The sequence below is a fragment of the Homo sapiens genome, chromosome 3 (genome assembly GCF_000001405.40).
Source record: "Homo sapiens chromosome 3, GRCh38.p14 Primary Assembly".
Classification (NCBI taxonomy): domain Eukaryota; kingdom Metazoa; phylum Chordata; class Mammalia; order Primates; family Hominidae; genus Homo; species Homo sapiens.
Window position 1 is genome coordinate 140,403,277 of NC_000003.12, and position 22,618 is coordinate 140,425,894.

At 41.2% G+C, this 22,618-nt stretch overlaps 1 protein-coding gene across 2 annotated transcripts in view, besides 2 other annotated features; it reads left to right on the forward strand.

Annotated features, from left to right (window-relative positions):
* CLSTN2 (calsyntenin 2) overlaps nt 1-22,618 on the forward strand; it is a 642,213-nt gene that overhangs the window by 468,092 nt on the left and 151,503 nt on the right. For both annotated transcript variants that reach the window (NM_022131.3, XM_017007022.3), the window contains exons 3-5: nt 353-548; nt 1,282-1,490; nt 17,849-17,998. In NM_022131.3, the coding sequence (NP_071414.2) occupies nt 353-548; nt 1,282-1,490; nt 17,849-17,998 (555 nt within the window). The remainder of the gene's footprint in view (nt 1-352; nt 549-1,281; nt 1,491-17,848; nt 17,999-22,618) is intronic.
* Nucleotides 19,686-20,885: an enhancer, noted in NCBI's record as "BRD4-independent group 4 enhancer chr3:140141804-140143003 (GRCh37/hg19 assembly coordinates)". NCBI's record gives its function as "activates an origin of replication core promoter dependent on BRD2, P300/CBP, MED14 and CDK7 cofactors, and independent of BRD4, by STARR-seq in HCT116 cells {active_cell/tissue: HCT116}" and the evidence as "EXISTENCE:reporter gene assay evidence [ECO:0000049][PMID:35650434]".
* Nucleotides 21,293-22,177: an enhancer, noted in NCBI's record as "H3K27ac hESC enhancer chr3:140143411-140144295 (GRCh37/hg19 assembly coordinates)". NCBI's record gives its function as "activates a minimal SCP1, AML or CMV promoter by ChIP-STARR-seq in primed H9 embryonic stem cells {active_cell/tissue: H9 hESC(primed)}" and the evidence as "EXISTENCE:reporter gene assay evidence [ECO:0000049][PMID:30033119]".

The following is a 22,618-nucleotide window of genomic DNA, read 5'->3' on the forward strand; positions in this document are numbered from 1 at the left end:
AATGGAGAAGTGGGGGAGGTAGAGGGAATTTAGCTTCAGCAATTTAGGCAGTGATTAAACCAGGAGTAAAGGAAAGAGGAAAGCAGTGCTGCTCATACATTAGTGAGCACACACATCACTTGAGGATCCTGTTAAAATGCAGATCCAGTTCAGGAGGTCTGGGTGGGGCCTGGGATTCTGTATTTTTAAGAAGCTCCCAGGCAATGCTGATGCTGCTGGCTCGTGGACCACACTATGTGCGTGGAAGAAATTGCATGGAGGCTTTGAGTTTGTGAATCTGGTCCAATGGAAGCACTGTCTTCAGTCTGGCAATTCTCAGGATTCCCACTCACTGTTTTCCATCCTTCTGCAGGGGAAATCTGTGCGTTCAAGATCCATGGCCAGGAGCTGCCCTTTGAGGCTGTGGTGCTCAACAAGACATCAGGAGAGGGCCGGCTCCGTGCCAAGAGCCCCATTGACTGTGAGTTGCAGAAGGAGTACACATTCATCATCCAGGCCTATGACTGTGGTGCTGGGCCCCACGAGACAGCCTGGAAAAAGTCACACAAGTGAGTGGCCTGACAGAGCCCTCTGGACGCCCCTCCCTCCCGTGCCCACCCCACTTCATTCACATGCTGCTCTTCAGATATGTTTACCCTCTTGTCACACAATGGTGCTCCAACTTTGCTCAACTGCTTGGCAGTTTCCTGGTCCCATGCAGGCATCTTCCCAGTCTGCTTTCCACACCTGCAATATTCTACTCCCTCTTCTTCACTGGAAGACACTCTTGTTTCACCCTCAGGTCTGAGTTTAGGTGTCACTTCTTCCAGAAAGCCTTCCCTAAGCTGGCCCACCCCCGCAGACCTGGTCAGGACCTTTCCCTGGGCCTCTGCCGTGCCATAAGCTGCTCTCTGTCACAGCAGTTTTCACTGTGGGTTGTCACTGCTTTTTCCCTTATGTTTATCTCAGAGCCTAACAGAGTAAGAGGGGTTAAATTCTTACTGAATGGAGGAGTGGATGAATAGAGGGAGGAATGAACAGTAAACCTGTTGCCTAAAGCTGGTGCAGAGGGAAGGGCATAAAAGTCTCTCTGGGATGGATTCATCTCAGAGCGTCAGAGCAAGGGCAAGTAGAGAGTCTCCAGTGAGAGGGAGGATGGGACACTCAGACAACTGCCACAATTGGCTGATGGTTTCTCCTTTCACTTGGCCTTGGGACCTCAGTCAGTGCCCCCAGGAGGTACAGGAGGTTGGTGTGACTCTTTCTTTACCACCATCCCTTCCTTTCTGTGTGTGGTCCCAGGGCCGTGGTCCATATACAGGTGAAGGATGTCAACGAGTTTGCTCCCACCTTCAAAGAGCCAGCCTACAAGGCTGTTGTGACGGAGGGCAAGATCTATGACAGCATTCTGCAGGTGGAGGCCATTGACGAGGACTGCTCCCCACAGTACAGCCAGATCTGCAACTATGAAATCGTCACCACAGATGTGCCTTTTGCCATCGACAGAAATGGTGAGTGACCTCAGAGGACCCCTGTGGGGTCAGGAAAACAAATCCATCGCCTCCACTCTGAAGACCCAACATGGGCTCTGAATATGCTTGGCAAGTTATGCCTTTCTTGCCATGTTTGGTCTAAGCTCCATAACCCAGAGCTCAGTCCCACACTTGAGGGAATGGCCTTATCTGATTAGCAGCCCTGCCAGGTCTAAAACACCCTCAGGAAACCTCAGAAACCTACTCACTCAATGTAGTCTGTACAACTCACAGTGCCACACATCTAGATACCGAAGATGGTTGATTTCCTGGTCAAATTTTCCAGTTGTCATCCAGATGTGAGCCATGCCATCAGCTTGGCCATATCTGGGTCCGTTTCCTATGTAATAAGTCATAATACCAGCCCTATTGCCTCTAGATGAAGACATGCTAACAGAGGAGGTGGGACTTTTGAAATCCCTTCTAAACCATAGATTCATTCAGGATTTTTTTTTTTGAGATGGAGTTTCGCTCTTGTCGCCCAAGCTAGAGTACAATGGCACAATCTTCACTCACTGCAACCTCCACGTCCTGGGTTCAAGTTATTCTCCTGCCTCAGCCTCCCGAGGAGCTGGGATTACAAGCGTGCGCCACCATGCTCGGCTAATTTTGTATTTTTAGTGGAGATGGGGTTTTACCATGTTGGTCAGGCCAGTCTCGAACTCCTGACCTCAAGTGATCCACCCACCTCGGCCTCCCAAAGTGCTGGGATTACAGGCGTGAGCCACTGTGCCTGGCCTCATTCAGGACTTTATAAAGTTCTTGCCAGTGTCCTTTTGAGAATTTCAACCCCAGTGAGAATGAAGAATGAAAGAACCCTCCCATAATAACCCAATCCCAGACTGAACAAGACTGGAAGCATTCCTATAAAGCCATTTGGACATTTCCCCATCACCACGAATAGAAAACTCATTGTAGTATAAACGCCACAACCAGAGCCCCAACAAACTCAGCCCACTTTAGCTGTAAATTTCAACACCTTCAACACCTAAAATCAAGTGTAATTATTTGCCAAGTACATTGTTTAATTATTAGTGTGAGTGTGTGGGTGTTTATATGTTCTTCCTACTTTGTTTCCAATAAGATTTAAGTAGCACACAAAGATGCAAAAGTTGCAAAATTCAAACTCCATTCACTCTGTAATTATTTATTGAGTGCCAGGCATGGTGCTGAACACTGGAAAGGAGATAGAGTGGAACTTAAAATAGACATGGGCCTGTCCACATACAGCTCATCATCTAGCAGAAAAAAATAGAAAATCCAGTGGCAGCAAGGGTGAAGATGGTGCACAAAGAATGCCATGAACCAGGGTTGGGCAGCAAATTAGCTCTGTACCTCCTGATAGCCAATGTCTAGAGGAAAATAGCATCAGCCACCTGCTTGTACACCTTCAGGAGAAACCCAACACTTCATGATGTTGAGACCAGGTAGAAACTTACTCTATGGCATTGTCTTCTGTACCCTGAGACTGCGGCAGATGCCATAGGGACTAGAAGTGAAGGAGACACTCTCATCCCTGTCTTTAAGTAGCTTAGAATCAGTCTTGGAAGACAGAACTAATATTCATAAGACAGAAAAAAATAATAATAAGGTAATTTCCCTCTAAAATGCTAAAACATGGGGAAAAGACAATTACATACCTGGATACCATGAGATAATTATACAGGCCACAGTGTCAATGCACAAGCAAGTAAAGGAGGAAATATAGGACTTTAATTAAAGTTTGGCTCAAAACTAAGAAGAAGGTAATTTTAATTAGTAGAGCCTGTCAGAATCGTTCCCCGATAGTTTCTCCCACAGGCTCTGTGAAATGACTAGCCTGTCCCCACCACAGAGGCACACATGTGCACACACCACTCCATAAAATATTGAACAACTTCTTTGTATTTTTCTCCTCTGGGTTTCTTTTTCTGTGTAATCAGTTGTGCAGTGTATCCCATAAAAGCTTTGGAATTTGGGGAGTGACAAGTCCATGGTGAATAGCAAGACTAGACAAGTGGAGGTATCTGTGCTCAGTGGTCAAGCTCTACTTGGCCTCCTGCCCTAGTTCTGAAGAGCCACAGCTCAGTGAGATGAGATGCAAAGTCTTTCTTTGGAGGGTAAACTGCCCCAGTCATGAAGATAATTACTCACCTTGATGAGCCATTTTGCTAACATATGCCAATTTATTTCCCTGGCTGTCTCATTAAAAGTGAGTAATGGGCCTTTGCCAGGCCTCTGCCTCTAATGCTGGTTTACAACCTAAGATGAAGAGGAGAATGGGCCCTCTCAGGGAGTGTGGGCCCCTGACAGCGAGGTGTACAGAAGCAGTCCTCCAGGTAATGAAGCAGGACCTAGGGGCAGACACAGAGACGGCTCCCATTCTAATGAGCTTCCCAATTGGCCCTTATCCATCAGTTTCTCTGAGCGACCTTTCTGACTCCTTGAAGAAGTACTTTGCATGCTCATAAGGAAAGTGCTTCTGAATTTAGAGCCTGCTCATTGAGGCCTAGGTTTCCCCTACCCCATGGCTTCAGATGGATGTCTCCTGGCCCCTCCAACTTTCCAGGCTCTGCTTGTGGGGTAAAGAATGGCAGCAGGGAGAATAGAAGACACAATGTGGAGTCAACCTGACCTGTCTTTAACCAGAGACTCACCCTCTTCCTACCAGAGGCCCTCAGACTCCCTCCCTTTGAATTCCTCCCCATGAAATTATGGCATTATCAGTCCTTACCCCATTGTGGGGTTGTGAGTATTCAAGGAGAAGCAGTGTGTGGGGATATTGTTTGCAGGGTATCTGGCATAGAGAGAGCACTCAATAAGTGGTGCAACAATTATTAAATATTTACCTGGATGATTGGGACTTGAGATTTATTTACCAGGCTTAAATTATGAGCAGATAACTATGAGTTCATCACATCACCTTCCTCTTGGAAAGTTCTGGATCTATTTGAGATGGCCTCATCTGCTAGCTAGTTTTTCTGAGATAAGTAGAGCTTGGGTCCTCAAAATTGAATCCTAAAACATAAAGAGCTAGCCTAATAACACTGTCACAGTGGTGATAGAGCTAGGACTCAACCCAGGTCTCCTGAGTGTTAGCCCCAAGACCTTTCCATCAGATCGCACCTCCTTGATGATAATTTACAGGATGCATGGCAGTGATGTTTAAGTTTGCAAACACGAAGTATGGGGCGATGTCAGCAAAAAGGCAGAGAAGGAGATCCCAGCCTTCATTCCCCGACAAAGTACAATCAGACAGCTATCTATGAAAGAAAATAGCTGTAGGAGAGCTCAGGAGTCCAGTTGAGAAGATACAGCAACACAGTATAAGAAAAACAATGAGAATAATTGTGCAAAAAGAGTAGGAAGAACAGTTTCATCTTGCATGCATCATCCCATCCCCCAGACCAGAAGTGCTTAGCACAGAGAGAGAACTCCTTAGCTCAAAAGTTACCCTTGAAGAGAAAAGGATAACAGGATGAACAATCAGTTTCCTGAGCTTTCAGGACACTCCCCCAAATGACCTCTTTCAATTTCACCCCACCCCATATAGCTAGGGAGATCAGCATGGCTGAGACATTTGGAGACATCTGGGAACAAAGAAGGGCGGGGCTATCAGTATCAGCCATGTCGCAGGAGCCACCAGGTTCCCTAGTGACTGCTCTGCATGGGACCCCAGCTGTCTTCTACCCTCAGGATCTCAACAGCCTCACAGCAACCACAAACCCCTGACTGGCTTTCACTGCCAAGGAGCCTACAGTGTTTACCATTACGGAACTCAGCAGCTTCTGCCACTGAGGAAACCAACAACCAGTATAGCCATAGGGGCCCCTCACAATTTTTGCTGAGGACCCCACAGTTTTTCACTTTTGCAGTTTCTAGGTACTTGAGTTACCACCTCTCTTCTTCCCCTCTCCCCAAAGCTGCCTTAGCTGCTGCCGTTGTAGACACCCCAACCCAGGAACCCAGGGAAGCCACTACATGTATGCCCCAAAATGGCCTGGGCTCCAGCCAAATATCCATCTGTCACAACCATGTGTGTACCTGTGGTTAACCCCTTTGCTGTGTGTACCTGAGCAGCTGCCCCAACTCCCATCACCAGGTCTAACAGTTGAAAATGTGTCTGTATCTGGCTTCTGTGCCTACATGCGTGCTTACCCAGCCCTGGCTCCTATCGCTGTACACGTGCAAGCCCCAACTTTTGTCCCTGGCCCCCACCACTGTGCTTGTACCTGCAGCTCGCCCCTGCAGCTGCATGCATGTACACTTCCAGCTTGATCCCCATAGCTGCACATGCATATGTAGCTGGTCTAACTCCTATTGGTGGCCCCCACCACCACATGAGTGCATGCAGCTGGTCCTTACAATTGCACATATGTATACCATGAGCCTTGACTGCTATAGTCATGCATGTACATGCCACCAGCTGCCATATAACCACAGTTGGCTCTGCCCCAGCCCTAACCATTAAGTGCATGTCCACAGCTGAGTGTGAACACACCAATGGCCCTGACTCCCCCTGCTGCCTGCACGAGTCCTTTGTCACTGGACCCAGGGCACCACTGAGTATACCTACAGTCCTGTCAGACACTGTGGACCTCCCACAGCCTTTGCCACACCAAGGAACACACAGTTGCAAATGTTACAGACCCCAGCTACCTGAACCAATAAGACATTGCATCCCTCTCCAAAACCTGGAGCCACCCATACACTAGGCACTAAGCATAGTGCCACAGTGCTCTCCAGCATTACCCATCCCCACCCTCACCTACCCATAGGTGAAGGATTTTCCTTAATGAATCCAGTTCATAAAGTCTGGAAAAGGTGATTATTTCTTCAAATGCTCAGACTCTTACACAAGACTACAAGTATCACGAAGGATCAGGGACATGTGGTAGCACCAAAGCAACACAATATACTGTCAGTAAGTAACCAACTCCAAAGAATAGCCATTGAATTCCTGATAAGAATTTGAACTAAATTGTTCTAAAGAAACTCAGTGATCTACAAGAGAACACAGATAAACAATTAACTAAATCAGGAAAACTTTGGAAGAAAAATACCAGAAGTTCAACAAAGAAAAAATATAAAAAGAACCAAACAAATTTTGGAGCTTGAGAATACAATGACTGAATTTTAAAAATGCAATAGAGAGCTTCAGTAGCTGACTCAACCAAGCAGAAGAAAGAATAAGCAAACTTAAAGACAGGTCATTTGAAGTTGTCCAGTAAGAGGAGAAAAAAGATGAAAAGAATAAAAAAAATCAAGAAAGCCTACATAATGTATGCAACACTATCAAGAGAGCTTATATTCATGTTTTGGGGGTATTTATATGGCTAAGAAAGAGGTAGAAAGCTTATTTAAAGGCATACTGGTGGATATGTTCTCAAATATGGAGAGAGATATGGACATCTAGGTACATGAAACTTAAAGTTCTCTAATTACATTCAACCCCAAAAGACTTTGCCATGACACATTATAATAAAACTGTCAGTAAATCAAAGACACAGCGAATTTTGAAAGCAGCAAAAGAAAAAAAACATATACATGGGAACCTCACTGAAGCTATCAGTATATTTCTCAACAGAAACCTTGCAGGCCAGAAAATAATAGAATTATATATTTAAGATGCTGAAATAAAAAGCAAAAAAAAAAAAAAAACCTACCAACCAAGGGTACTTTACCTGGCAAAGTTATTCTTCAGAAATTAAGGAGAAACAAACACTTTCTCAGACAAACAAAAGCTTAGGGAATTCATCACCACTAGACCTGCCTTACAGTAAATGATAAGGGGAGTTTTTCAAGCTGAAACAAAAGGATGCTCCTTGTTAATACAAAATCATATGAAGGTATGAAACTCACAGGTAAAAATCAGTAAATATTCAAATTCAAAATATTCAAATACTGCTAAGATGACATGTAAATCACTTATAATTCTAAAGGCTAAAAGACAAAAGTATTAAAATCATTATAGCTAAAATGACTTGTTAATGTATGTACAATATAAAAACATAAATTGTGGCACAAAAATATAAAATGGGAATAAAAGTGCAAAGCTTTTATGTGCATTTCATGTTATTTTTATCAGCTTAAAATAGACTGGTACAACCATAATATGTTTTATAATATGTAAGCCTCAGTAACCACAAAGCAAAAGCCTGAGTAGATACACAAAAAAATAAAGAGAAAGGAATCAAAGCATACCACTACAGAAAATTATCAAGTCACAAAAGAAGACAGCAAAAGAGAAAGAAAGGAACAGAAGATCAACAAAACAACCAGCAAAGGTTGACAAAATGGAGATATTAAGTCTTGACCTATCAATAATTACTTTAAATGTAAATGGACTAAATGCATCTATCAAAAGGCATAGAGTGGATCAAACAAGACCCAACTATATGATGCCTATAAGAGATTCACTTCACTTTTAAGGACGTGAAAATAATAAAAGTGAAGGTACGATAAAAGATTTTGTGCAAATGGAAACCAAAAGAGATCAAGGGTAGCTATACTTATATCAAACAAAATAGGCTTTAAGTCAAAAACTGCAAAAAGAGACAAAGAAGGTCATTATATGATAATAAAAAAAGTAAATTCATCAAGAAGATACAGCAATTGTAAGTGCATATGTACCCAACGCTAGAGCGTGTAAATATATAAAGTAAATATGAACAAATCTGAAGGGAGAAATAGACAACAATACAAGAATAGTAAGAAACTACTTTCAACAATGGATAGAGTATCAAGACATAAAATCAATAAGGAAACACTGGATTTGAACTGTTATACTTTAGATGAAATGGACATAGCAGACATATGCAGAACATTTTATCAAACAGCAGCAGAATATACAGTACACATGGAACATTCTCCAGGAAGATCACATATTAGGTCATTGTTTTCAATGAAACTCTTCAAGTTTCTCTACCAAGCTAGCTGGTATCTACTGTGCCCAGCAACCACCAGAAGCTCAGACAAAAGAACATCAGCAGGGGAATTCACCCATAAGGATCCCTTCGAGGCAGCCTTGCCATTAGAAATTAGGCTGTGGGCACAGCTTCAATGATACAACCATAGTGTGAAAGTTTAAAAGGTTTTAGTACGTACAGATTCTGGGAATACATGGCATGCCTACAGGCCACACAGAGAACAGGAAGTGCAGGCTGGTAGAGAAAAACAGACCAATGGGCCTATGTTTTTACTGAGTTCAAAGCATTAATTAAACAGATTTTCCACGGGGAGATTTGTTTTTGTTTTTGTTTTTTGAGACAGAGTTTCACTCTTGTTGTCCATGCTGGAGTTGCAATGGTGCAATCTAGGCTCACCATAACCTCTGCCTCCCGGGTTCAAGTGATTCACCTGCCTCAGCCTCCCGAGTAGCTGGGATTAACAGCATGCGCCACAACACCTGATTAATTTTGTATTTTTAGTGGAGATGGGGTTTCTCCATGTTGGTCAGCCTGGTCTTAAACTCCTGACCTCAGGTGATCCGCCCACCTCAACCTCCCAAAGCACTGGGATTACAGGTGTGAGCCACCACACCCAGCCCCATGGGGAGTTTTAATTGTTGGCTTTAAAACAAGCAGGCATGAGTTCTAGGAGGTCACATGTTCACTGAAAGGTAGTCACTGTGGCATATCTGAACAGTCCATGCAGAGTATGAGGGGCAGCAGGACCAGGCAAGTAGTCTGTATCTAGCTGTCCCATAGGGAACTGGTCACCAGGAGGCTATTGTATAAGGCAGTTGTTTGAATTAGCCACACAGAGAAACTTGGAGAACTGGAAGCTGTGTTAAGAGTGACTGAGTCCTGCTTCTGGTGTGGGGAAGTCCAACTAATATTCAAAATGAATGCCAAGGTAACATAAAATTGTAAGCATTCACTATAGCCATTAAGTCTTACATTTAAGATTTAAATCATATAAAATTTTTTTCTCAACCATGACGGTATGAAACTAGAAATCAATAGCAGGACAAAAAGCTAGAAAATTCACAAATATGTGAAATTAAATAACGTGGTTCTGAACAACAAATGGGTCAAAGAAGAAATCAAAAGGAAAATATCTTGAGGCAAATGAAAATGAAATCACAATATGTCAAAACTTTTCGGATGTAGGAAAGGCCATTTTAAAAGGGAATGATATAGGAATAAATAGAAATAAATGCCTAAATTTTAAAAGAAGAAAGATCTCAAATAAAAAACCTAATGTTATACGTCAAGGAACTAGAACAAGAACAAACTAAACCCTAAATTAGTAAAAGGAAAGAAATAACAAAGATTAGAACAGAAATAATGGAAATAAACACTAGAAGACCGTATAAAAGATCAATGACACCAAGTTTGTTTTTTTAAATAGATAAACTAATTGATAAACCTTTACCTAGGCTAAGAAAAAAACAGAGACAAGACTCAAATAGATGAAATCAGAAATGAAAGAGAAGACATTACAACTGATACCACTGAAATAATTTTCAAAGGATGGTAAGAGACTGCTAAGAACACTTTTATACCAACAAATTGTATAACCTAGGAAAAATAGATAAGTTCCTAAGGACATGCAACCTTCCAAGACAGAATAATAAGGAAATGAGAATCTGAACAGACCAATAATGAGTAGGAAGACTGAATTCATAATAATAGTTTTTTTAAATATCCCATCAAAGAAAATCCCAGGATCTGATGGCTTCACAGCTGAATTCTACCCAACATTGAAAGAACTAATACCAGTCCTTCTCAAACTTTCAAAACACTGAAGAGGAGGGAACACTTTCAAACTCATTTTATTAGGCTGGCATTACCCTGACATCAAAGTCAGACAAAGACAGTTCAAGAAAAGAAAATTACAGGCCAATATTTCTGATGAGCATAGATGCAAAAATAGTCCTCAACAAAATACTAGCAAACCAAATTCAACAGCACATTAAAAGGATCATACACCATGATTAAGTGGGACTTAGCCCTGGGATGCAAAGAAAGTTCAACATACACAAATCAGTAAATGTGATATACTACATTAACATAATGAAGGACAAAGATCATATGATATCTCAATAGATACAGAAAAAGCATTTCACAAAATTCATCCTTTCATGATAAAAATTCTCAACAAATAATGTATAGAAGGAATGTCTTCAACACAATAAAGACTGTATATTACAAGGCCACAGCAAACATCATACTCCACGGTGAAAAGTTTAAAGCTTTTTTCTCTAATGTAAGGAATTAGACAAAGATGCTCACTCTTGACACTTTTATTCAACATAGTACTGAAAGTTCTATCCAGATCAATTAAGGAAGAAAAAGAAATAAAATGTACTCACATCAGAAAGGAATAAGTAAAATTGTCTGTTTGCAGATTACATGATTTTACATAGAGAAAACCCCAAAGACCCCACCAAAGACTGCTGTAACTAATAAATAAATTCAGTAAAGTTGCAGGATAAAAAAGCAACACACAAAAATTATTTTCATTTTTGTACACTAACAACAAACTATCCAAAAAAATTTTTAAAAATGCATTTACAATAGCATCAAAAGAAATAAAATACTTAGAAATAATTTAACTAAGGAGGTGAAATATCTGTACACAGAAAACTATAAAACATTGATGAAAGAAAACGTAGAAGACACAAATAAATTACAAGATATTCCATGTTTATGGATTGGAAGAATCAATATTGTTAAAATGTTCTACTCAGGAATTGAAAGCCAAATACTGCACATTTTCACTTATAAATGGGAGCTAAGCTATGGGTATGCAAAGGCATACAGAGTGATATAATGCACATTGGAGACTCAGAAGGAAAAGGATGAGAAGTGGGAAGGGATAAAAAAAACTACCCATTGGGAACAATGTACACTACTTGGATGATAGGTGCACTAATATCCTAGACTTCACCACTATACAATTTATGTAAAAACCCACTTGTACCCCTAAAACTATTAAAATAAAAAAATTTAAAAATCTAATAAAATGTCTATACTACCCAAAGCAAGATAGAGACTCAATGCAATCTCTATCAAAATTACAATGGCAGTTTTCATAGTAACAGAAGATACAATCCTAAAATTCATATAGAAGCACAAAAGACCTCAAATAGCTAAAGCAACCTTGAGCAAGAAGAACAAACCTGGAGGTATTACATTTCCTGATTTCAAACTATAAAACTATATTGCAAAGCTATAGTAATAAAATCAGTATGTAGCTGTCATAAAAACAGACACATAGACCAATGGAGCAGAATAGAGAACCCAGAAATAAATTCACACATATATAGTTAGCTAATTTTCACCAAAGCCACCAAGAATACACAATGGAAAAGAATAGACTTGTGAATAAATAGTACTGAAAAAAACTGGATATCCACAAGCAAAACAAAGCAAAATTGGACCCTTCTGTTACACCATACACAAAAATAAATTCAAAATGGATTAGAGACTTACACATAAGACCTGAAACTATAAAAACCCTAGAAGAAAATACAGGGAGAAGGCTCCTTGGCATTGGTAGTGGCAACAATTTTTTAATTTGATAGCAAAAGCATAGGCAACAAAAGCAAAATGAAATGAGTGGCACAATATCAAACTAAAAAGCTCTGCATAGTGAAGAAAGCATTCAACAAAATGCAGAGGCAACCTACAGAATGGGAAAATTATTGGTAGACCATATATGCAATAAAGTTATCCAAAATATATGAGGAACTCATATAACACAAAATAGCAAAAAAAAAAAAAAAAAAAAAAAACAAACTGATTTTAAAATGTGCAAAGGACCTGAACGGACATTTTTCCAAAGAAGATACACATATAAATGGTCGACGTGCATACAAAAAGATGTTCAATGTCACTAACTACCAGTAAAATGCAAATCAAACCCTCAATGAGCTATCACCTCACAATTATTAGGATGACTACTGTCAAAAAGTCCATGAGGAGAAGCATTGGTGAAGATGTGAAGAAAAGGGATTCCTTGTAGACTGTTGGTGAAAATGTAAATTGGTACAGCTATTACGGAAAACATCATGAATGTACCTCAAAAAATTATGAATAGAACTACCATAGGTTCAGCAATTCCACTTTGGGGTATGTATCCATAGGGGGAAAATAATCCAGTATCTTGAAGAGATAGTTGCACTCCCATATTTATTGCAGCATTATTCACAATAGCAAAGATGCAGAAACAACCTAAGTGACTGTTGACAGATGAATGGATAAAAAATATGTGGGAGATACAAACATACAATGGAATATTACTCAGCGTTAAAAAAGAAGGAAATCCTGCCGTTTGCAACAACTTGGATGAACCCGAAGGACGTTATGCTAAGTGAAATATCCCAGACACAGAAATACAAATGCCTCATGATATCACTTGTATGTGAAATCTTAAAAGGTTGAACTCACAGAAATAGAGAGTAGAATGGTGGTTGCCAGGGTTTAGGGAGGGAGTGGAGGAAAAGAGAAGGTATTGATCATAGCATATAAACTTTAGTTATTAATATAAGATGAATAAATACTGGAGAATGTACAGCAGGGTGACTATAGCTAATAGTAATGCATTATATACTTGAAATTTGCTGAGAGTAGATCTCAACTGAGCTCACCACACACACACAAACACACACACACACACAAGAAAGGTAACTATGTGACATGATGCATATGTTAAATAGCTTGATCATGGTAGTTATTTAGTAATGTATACATATATTAAAACATCACATTGTATACCCCAAATATATACAATTTTTATTTGTCAGTCATACCTCCATAAAGCTGGAAAAAAATCCTGCAAGTTGGTGGACCCCACACTTGCATCTACCACTCGTATGTGTGTGTCTGTGTGGTCTTTGACAAGTTACTTGAACTTTGTCTCAGACCCTCACCAGTAAAATGGAAATTGAATATTGTACCGGTGCAGTGTGATTGTTATCTGAACTGATGCCAAAAAAATACTGGAGCCTCTGGCACAAGCCAGCCACTCAGCCATGTTAGAGAATGACAGTGGAGGGAGCGGTAGGCTCTCAACGACACCCAGTTACCAATTGGCAGATTTTCTACTTTTCAAGCAATTGTTTGGTCTTCATGCAGCCTCAGCTGGGCTCTCTCTTTGACAGAAGGCTGCCCTAGTGAATAACAGGATTCATGCTTCTGAGCCAAATGTATCCTAAAGACTGCTCATTCTTAAAGTGAATGAAAATGCTTATTTCCCATATGAATGGAAAAGTGTTATATGCCTTGTGTGGGAAATTTGGAAAGCACAGAGAAGTATGAAGTCACCCATAATCCTGCCAAAGTAACCATTATTAACAGTTAACCATTAAATCATTGTTTGCCAAATTTTCAATAGTTTTTCTGTAAAGTTTTTAAACAAAATTAGGGCCGCAATGTCCTTGCATTTGTCTGTCCTCCCTTTTTTCACTTAACATTTAACTATATGTATTTTCCCCATCTTTAAACGTTCTTTATAATCACCACTTTTACTACTGAACAACAATCCATCTTATGCATAGACATTATACTTAGCTCTTCCCTTATAGTGTCAGGCTATTTTTCAGTGCAATAAATACTAGATGAACATATTTGTACATGTATCTGCAATTGTATCATTTTTCCAGAATCAATTTTTAGAGGAGGAATTGCACTCCCAAAAGGTATAAGCAATTTCAAACTGACTAGCATATATTGCCAAGTAGCTTTCCAGATAGGTTGTTCCCATTTAAATTCTACTAGAAGAGTGTTGGTCAGTATGTCTGTTTTATCCCCTCAGCCCCCACTCTCCGAGTTTAAAAAAAAATACCTAAACTAATGTGTAAGGTAGGGACTGGTTGTTCTTTGAAGGTGAATTTTTCAAGTTCCTTTGGAGAAATAGCTCCAGGGACTTATGTTCACCATGGTTAACTGTGGGATTAGGTCTCCTGAGAAGACCGTGATAGAAAAATCATTCAAATATGGGAGAAAAAGATACAGTTGTAACAGAAGCAAAACAGGTGACTTTTCTGAGCTTTCAAAAAATTTTAAATGTGTATCTTATTGAAATATGACCTTCTCCCATGCAACAATTCATCACAATACTATACCCTCAGTTTTTAGCTAATGCTTCAAATTCTGTGCTTTGAAACTCATTTTCACATGCACAAATTTGGTGGTGGTGGAGAAGGTAAATTAGTTTCTCAGACACTTTCATTAAGACTTGTTATGGAAGTAGACCTGCAACAAATTGAGCCAAGGATTCAGCTTGTGTGTTTATTTTTCTACCACAATCAATAGTGTTTGGTCTGCTTAATGTTGTACACATTGTAAACTCTGAGCCTTCCTTTTGTAAGAGGAGTATCTTTTGAGGGCCATTTAATTTTAAAGAAAGTTAATTTTTTTTTTCAAAATTCAATGTGATGTTGTGAAAATATACTTCTCATGGTTATATTAAAGTGCTTCCACCTGACAGAATTCCTCCCCTGTGACAACTATAACCACATATAAGTTTGAGTGTTACCAACCAATACTGAGCCATTCCAGACCTGTGCAAGCCCTCAGAACTGAGAGGGAAACAATAATTGAGGAGAAATGAAAGGGATTCCGAACACCAGCCACTAAGCTAGAAACACATCAAACACGTTTTTATTGAGATATTTTTGACTGACTTTGTTAACTAAATTCTATCTCTAATTGGTGGATGAAGCTGTATTGTTAGAAGTAGTCCAGAGAAGATAGCAGAATAGATTATTCTAGTTCTTTCTTTCTTTCTTTCTTTCTTTCTTTTTTTTTTTTTTTTCTGAGACGGAGTCTCACTCTGTGGCCCAGGCTGGAATGCAGTGGCACGATCTCGGCTCACTGCAACCTCTGCCTCCCGGGTTCAAGTGGTTCTCTTGCCTGAGCCTCCCGAGCCACTGGGATTACAGGTGCCTGCCACCACACCCTGCTAATTTTTGTAGTTTTAGTAGAGACAGGGTTTCACCTTGTTGGTCACGCTGGTCTCGAACTCCCGACTTTGTTATCTGCCCACCTCAGCCTCCCAAAGTGCTGGGATTGCAGGTGTGAGCCACTGCGCCGGGCTGATTATTCTAATTATTGATCCAGTGTCTTGGGCAACTTCGTATTCCCTCCTGGACATCAGTCAGCGTCCAGGACAAGTTACTTGAACTTTGTCTCAGACCCTCACCTTCCCATTTCCTGCTCCTTCCACCCTCACATAGATTCACATGTGCAGCACCTGCTCATGGCCTGGGTACCAATACTCTTTCACTAATATTGTGTAATTGGTGGACCTTTTTTTAAAAAAAAAATCTTTCAAGCATTATTTGACTTTTCTAATTTTCCAAGCTTTCTTGTTTCATTCCATGTTCTCTCAATATGCATAAACAATACATAGCAGTTAGAAGAAAGCTCATTTAGGCAATTTTTCTTTAGTTTTGATGAAATATAAAAATATACCTGAGTCAGGCTGGGCATGTTGGCTCACACCTGTAATCCCAGCACTTTGGGAGGATGAGGCAGGTGGATCACCTGAGATCACGAGTTCGAGACCAGCCTGGCCAACATGGCGAAACCCCATCTCTACAAAAAACACAAAAATTAGCCAGGCGTGGTGGCATATACCTATAGTCCCAGTACTTGGGAGGCTGAGGCGGGAGAATCACTTGAACCCAGGAGGTGAAAGATTGCAGGGAGCCGAGATCATGCCACTGAACTCCAGCCTGGGTGACAGAGCCAGACTCTGTCTCAAAAAAAAAAAAATATATATATATATATATACACACACATATGTGTGTGTATATATATACATATATACGTGTACGTATATATGTATATATACATATATACGTGTACGTATATATGTATATATACATATATACGTGTACGTATATATGTATATATACATATATATGTACACGTATATATACATATATGAATATGTATATACGTATATATACGTATATGAATATGTATATATGTATATATACGTATATACATGTATATACGTATATATACACATATACGTGTATACACGTGTATACACGTATATACACGTATACGTGTATATACGTGTATATACGTATATATACGTATATGTGTATATATATGTGTATATATATATGTATATATATATATGTCAGCCATTACCTCTTTGTTTATTTTGTTGATTTTTTTTTTCAGACAGTCTTGCTCTGTCACCCAGGCTGGAGTACAGTGTTGCGATCTCTGCTCACTACAACCTCCACTTTCCAGGTTCAAACAATTCTCGTGCCTCAGCCTCCTGAGTAGCCGGGAGTACAGATGTGTACCATCACACCTGGTTAATTTTTGTTTTTTTAAATAGAGATGGGGTTTTACCATGTTGGCCAGGCTGGTCTCAAACTCCTGTCTTCAAGCCATCCACCCACCTCAGCCTTCCAAAGTGCTGGGATTACAGACGTGAACCACTGCACCCAGCCTATTTTGTTCATTTGTTTTTTAATTTCAGTTTTTAAAATTTAGTTTCTGGTAAACGATGATAACATTTGAGTTCTAATTTGCTGTCAACTCTGCCGCCAAAAAAAAAAAAAGTAGTAGGAATGAAATTATTCTCAGCAAAATATTTTAATCTATTAGAATTTAAAGCTTAAAAGTATTAAATTCACTTTAGGTCTTTATTAGTTCTTTGGAACTAAAATTGTATTTCAGCAAAAATAATGAATTAACATTTTGCTCATTAATTACCAAATATTTATTTCAGAACTATAATATGAAACCCACAGGAGCAAAAACACACAAACAACTCAGAAAAAAGTTACTTGGTCTCTCTTAGAGAAGAAAAATGTCTTCTTCGGGGCGAAAAGTGTGTTATTCTATGTCGCTTTCAGAAGGGAGGTCACACGTTTTCTTATTGATTTTACTTCCTATTTGGTAGCAAAAATAATGTGAGATGAGGCAGTGAACATTCCTGGCGACAAGCCCAGATGTTAAAAAATATGTGTCAGGACATTTTCTGAATTCCATCTTTTTCCCAGAGATATCCTTGCAGATGAATGGTCTTTGCCCTACATCAGGGACACAATCACACGGCTGTACTTCAGGAGGAAGTCTTCTGGCAGCCCATTACTTATAAACACAAGCCAGCTGGATTCCAGGCGTGTGCTCGAAATTCCCTGGCAGTCCTATTGCGCAGCTAGGTGGCTTCAGCCAGTGGGTTCCCAGGAATTTGCCACCAAAGCATAAGCACGCTACAAGTGGAGCCATGCTCCTGTTTGCCCTTGTTTTTACAAAGAGATAAGGAAAAGGGTCACTTTCTTCCTGTGAAGGTGGGTGGAGTGGAGAAGAGATTTGGGAGAAGTACAAGTGCAGTTAAATTGACCTGAAATGCTTTTGAACATCTCTGTTCCTCAGGCAACATCAGGAACACTGAGAAGCTGAGCTATGACAAACAACACCAGTATGAGATCCTGGTGACCGCCTACGACTGTGGACAGAAGCCCGCTGCTCAGGACACCCTGGTGCAGGTGGATGTGAAGCCAGTTTGCAAGCCTGGCTGGCAAGGTGGGCCTGTTTTATCAGTCTTGTGTGAAGGCAGCATGGTCTGATGTATAGAAGGTGGTGTACTTGTCCTCAAATCATCACAACACATAACTTTTTAAAGTACAGTCACTTTGCTGTGAGAAATAAAGTAGCTTGCTTATTCTCACAACTCTTAGGTGATATATTATCCCCATTTTTCAGCTGAGAATGTCGAAGACATCTCCTCTAACCTCATGTGCCCAGTTTGTCCAGTGCTCCCTTTCTCCAATCTCATGACATCTTCGATCAATAGTAATTATCTCACAGCATGTAGGAGAAATTGCCAGCAAGCCTATTCACTTTACCCCAGGGTGCTGGGTCTACCTGATGCATTTCAAGTTTTGCATCACGGATCAACACCTGGGGAAAGTCGCCATGTTCTTTGTGCTCACACAGAATGCACACAGGCAGAGGCGGGAGACCCAGAATCCAGACTCTGGATTAGGGAATGTATAAAATGTTGACTCTGGGAATGAAGAAGCAATGGCTTTGGATGGAGGTGGATTTTTGTGTCAGTTTAGAGCTCTTAGAATGCAAAGGAAACTAAATGCTTAGGTCACCCTTAGATAACAGTTTATCACTGAACTGAGGGCAAGTAAGGAAGGTGAGGACAGCTGCATAGATGGACCTTACAGAGATTTGAGTGATTTGTGGAATAATAATAGCTTTAGTGGTGATGCCAATAGATCTGGTGGCTGAGCAGGGATTCTAGAATTATCTCTGCACCATTATTTTGGCTGCCCGATGACTCCCTCTCTCTACTTCATGTGTTGAAGATGCTGCAGGCTATTGCTTACTCATAACTCATAAACTGCTTCATTTCTGTGTACTGCCTTCTCTTGGTGTGTCTTTAAGCTTCTGCCTCCCTCTTATATTCTCATATTTTCTCTCTTTCTTTCTCTCTCTCTCTCTCTCTCTCTCTCTCTCTGCTATCTTTAATTCTTAAATTCCCCAGAAAGAGTTGGTGTTAATCACTCACATCCCTGTAGGGAAGACTGATGCCAGACCACCCTATAAATCTCTGGTCAGTCTTTGAATGACTGTCTTTTAGTCAGTTATTCATTCCTAATCCAATTCATCAGGGTCAGATTGGCAGGACATCATGGTACAAAGTAAGGACACCTGTTTCAGAAGCTGCCTGACATCATTCCCCTCAGAAGGCAGTTCTCAAAGCACTCCTCCCTTGCACAACTTGATCTCCCTAAAACTTAAAACTGAAAAGATCGGAAGGGGTAATTTAACCCACCTCTGGAGAGAGCCAGAGTTGTATGCCTTTGAACAAAGTAGAAAAGATGAAATGCTCAGTAAAGGAACCACAGGTAAGGCACATGAGAGGTAAAGAACAAAGCAGAGTCATCTTTGTGTCAGTCTGTTAGGATCAAGGAAGAGACATAGAAAGAAGGACAAGCCAGAGTGGGAAACTTTGTTTTCCCAACCTCAGGGAGCCTGAGCTCTGATTGGCTATAACACTAGACCCGAGGACCCTGCAGACAGAATTCTGTCTTGTTCACCACTGAATTTCTCAAGCTTGGTGCAGTGTCTAGTGCCAATTGTGGGTGCTCAAGAAATAGTCATTGAATGAATGAATGAATAAATGAATGAATGAATGAAAGAAAAGGTATATGAGTTAAGAAGAACTCACCTTGTTTTGTTTTTAACTCATGAAGATTAGCTCCAATGAACGTGTGGCCTTTGAAGAGAAAACCTGGAAAGTATATATAAACTCTGTATGCATGAAATATGTTCACAATGAGAATTTAAGTAGGAAAAGCAAAACACACAGCTATGTCAGAAGAATAGTCCCAATGCTTCTTTGACTTTGACAAATGAGGCACCTACAGATGTGTGATTACATTTTTATTCCTAAATTTAAATATAATTTCCTAACAGAATTTGTACTTATTAAATGTATGCAAGGAAAAACCTGGTCACAATGTTTAACTCTACGAGTGAAGAATGTATTGAGCACCACCTTATAGCGCACACTGCTGTTTGCAGCTCTGGACAAATCTTGTTGGGCAAGGCCGGTGCCCATCTGCTATTATGTCTCCAGTGCCCAGCACACTCCAGTGCCCAGCACAGAACCAGACATGAGGCAGGCATTTAGCAAGTGTTTAATGATGGAGAAATGGTCAGCAAAACTTTGGTTAAAAAAATGTACCTTTCTGTGGAATAAAGAAAGCAGGGAAGAGGCAATTCCCTGCATCCATTCATAGTGTCGGGCACAGTGATTTAAACACATGTAACATCAGAATCAACTACTTCATAGTGGCTTCCCTGCCTTAGCTGTGTGGGATATGATGAGGTTTCTCTTCAAAGAGCCTAATCAATCCTTTATTCTTTAATTCATAGTACCCCCCACCACCCATTTTTTCTTTTTCTCTTTTTTCCTTCCTGCCTTTGCTACATGCCCAGACATGTCACAGTACCAGGCTTATCAGTACCAGCTCACATTCCTTTCCTTATTTGGAAAGAAGACTAGCTCTCTAGCTCATTGCAGACACCCCTTCCCCTTTTCCCCTCTCTCCCTTACGTGCCCACCCTATCTAAAGAAAGTTCAAATGTTTAGGCAACCGGGATTAGTTCAGATTGTGGGACCTGACCCTGGCCAATGGGGAAAGGGTACAGGGGCAGGACTTGCATCAGGAATAAAGGCTCTCCTGCCCCTTTGTTCAGGTGTGCTCTCATGGCGACTGGCCAAGGAGAAGCACCCCTCTGCACAGAAGTAAAATTGCTTTGCTGAGGATCCTTTGTTTGAGTGTTCAATTTCCTTAGGATTTTGAGTGTTATTCCCAACAGCTGCCAGCCTGTAGTGGCAGAAGCTGACAATGAGTTCTTCATCCTTAATTTTTTCCCCCAGCTTACCCCTTGCAATTCCTTCCTGCCTAAAGGGAAATGACTGAGAACAGGTACAAGAATTCAAACTGCCAAACTGTGTTTGGCATCCGGATCCAGAGTCTGGGATGTCCTCTCTCTCAGTCACTGCCCCAGTAGACTTCCAGATCATAGACAGGCCCTCCAGGCTCTCTGATATCTATAACAGGCCATAAGGCCTTTCTAGCATTCCTGTCCCAGCTCCCAGACCTAGAGAGGAACCTCCTCTCCTCCTCCCAGCCTACTGATTCACTTCATGCCTCCACTTGGACAACCCTCAACTCTTACTCACTCATCTTGGGGCCTATTCTCTCTTATATCCCTGGTCAGGGCTGCAGCCTCTTAACTGGAAGTTCACCTTTCTCCAGGTAAGAACTGACCACAACTGGTCTGAGTTGTATATCTCTTGTCCTGCCCCTTCTCCCAGCTGTGTAGAGCAAACTGGAACGAACTATGTTTTACTGGCTTGCTTGTTACTTGCAGATGATGCAGACTGCCCCTTACTGTGAGTGGGCATCAAATGCCTTGGGGGAAAGGTTTGGCTTTTCATGGAGCCAGTATGGGGTGAATCCTGCACTTTGTAAATGGACAAGGAACATAGAGAGGGGAGAACATTCAGGGGACCAGTGAACAATATGAGGAGAGCAGTTTGGCTTGCACAGAAGGCTGTGACTGGAGAGATGTGGAAAGCAAGATTGGAGGGGCCTGTGGTAGGGGAGGGTGGGTGGTTGAGGTTTTGAGGTCAGGGTGAGGAGCTGCAATGAGCCTCAACCCCCTCAGATCCAGCTGAGAGGGAGCTGTGTGCATTTGCCAGACGTAATTCCACTTAATTCTCTGGGAGAACAGAGGCCTCTCCCAAACTGACTCCTCACAAGCAACTGGAGTAACCAAGCAAATGCACTTTGGCAGTTTGAATTCTGGTACCTGTTCTAAGCCATTTCCTTTTAAGCAGGAGGGGATTGCAGCACAGTGAATCCAATCCATTACACGCAAGAGCTCCCACCTCCCCCAAGCACTCCCAATCAGCATGTCACCCAGTCCTTACTGTGGCCAGCTTCTTCCAGGGAGCTTTCTCAGAGCACGGAACCCTGCCCCACAGCTGGAGCCTTTCCTTCCTTCGCAGGGCCCATGAGGACTTGCTCTCAGACTCCAGTGATGCCCCAGGGCAGTGGCCCTCATTGTTTATCACAATTGCCCCTTCCATGGGCAGGACCAGAAGAGGCTTTCTCTGAATGCTGCTGGCCTTACCCAGCTATGCACAGAAGGACATCTCAGACCCCGGCTCTTCCGCTGCCTGCCTTTCAGACCTTGGCCAAAGTATTATCTACCAAGGCTATGGTTTTCTTATTCCTGCCTTTTCTCTGTGGGTTGGTCTTATCTTCTCCCTTAGGGCGGAACCACACTTCTTGCAGCCCATGGCACTGAACTTTCCATCCATCACCTAAGCATGAACTAAAAGTGTGTTTGCTAGCATCACTCACCAATGGGCAGGGTGGGGCTTATCAAGGGTTTAGCTTACAGCGAGGGGAGGAAGGAAGACTTTGCATTCAGAAAACAAGCCCAGGGTGCCAGGCACATACATTTTGCTCTTATGTGAGCTTTGTCTTCTCTGCTGTATTCTGAGGTTTTAACTCTGAATAGGTGATAATGGTCAGCTCACTCTGCAGTGAGGTGGAACTTTGCTGAAGGGAACACTCCCATTCTCAGTTGGCCAGGGAAGAGGATGGC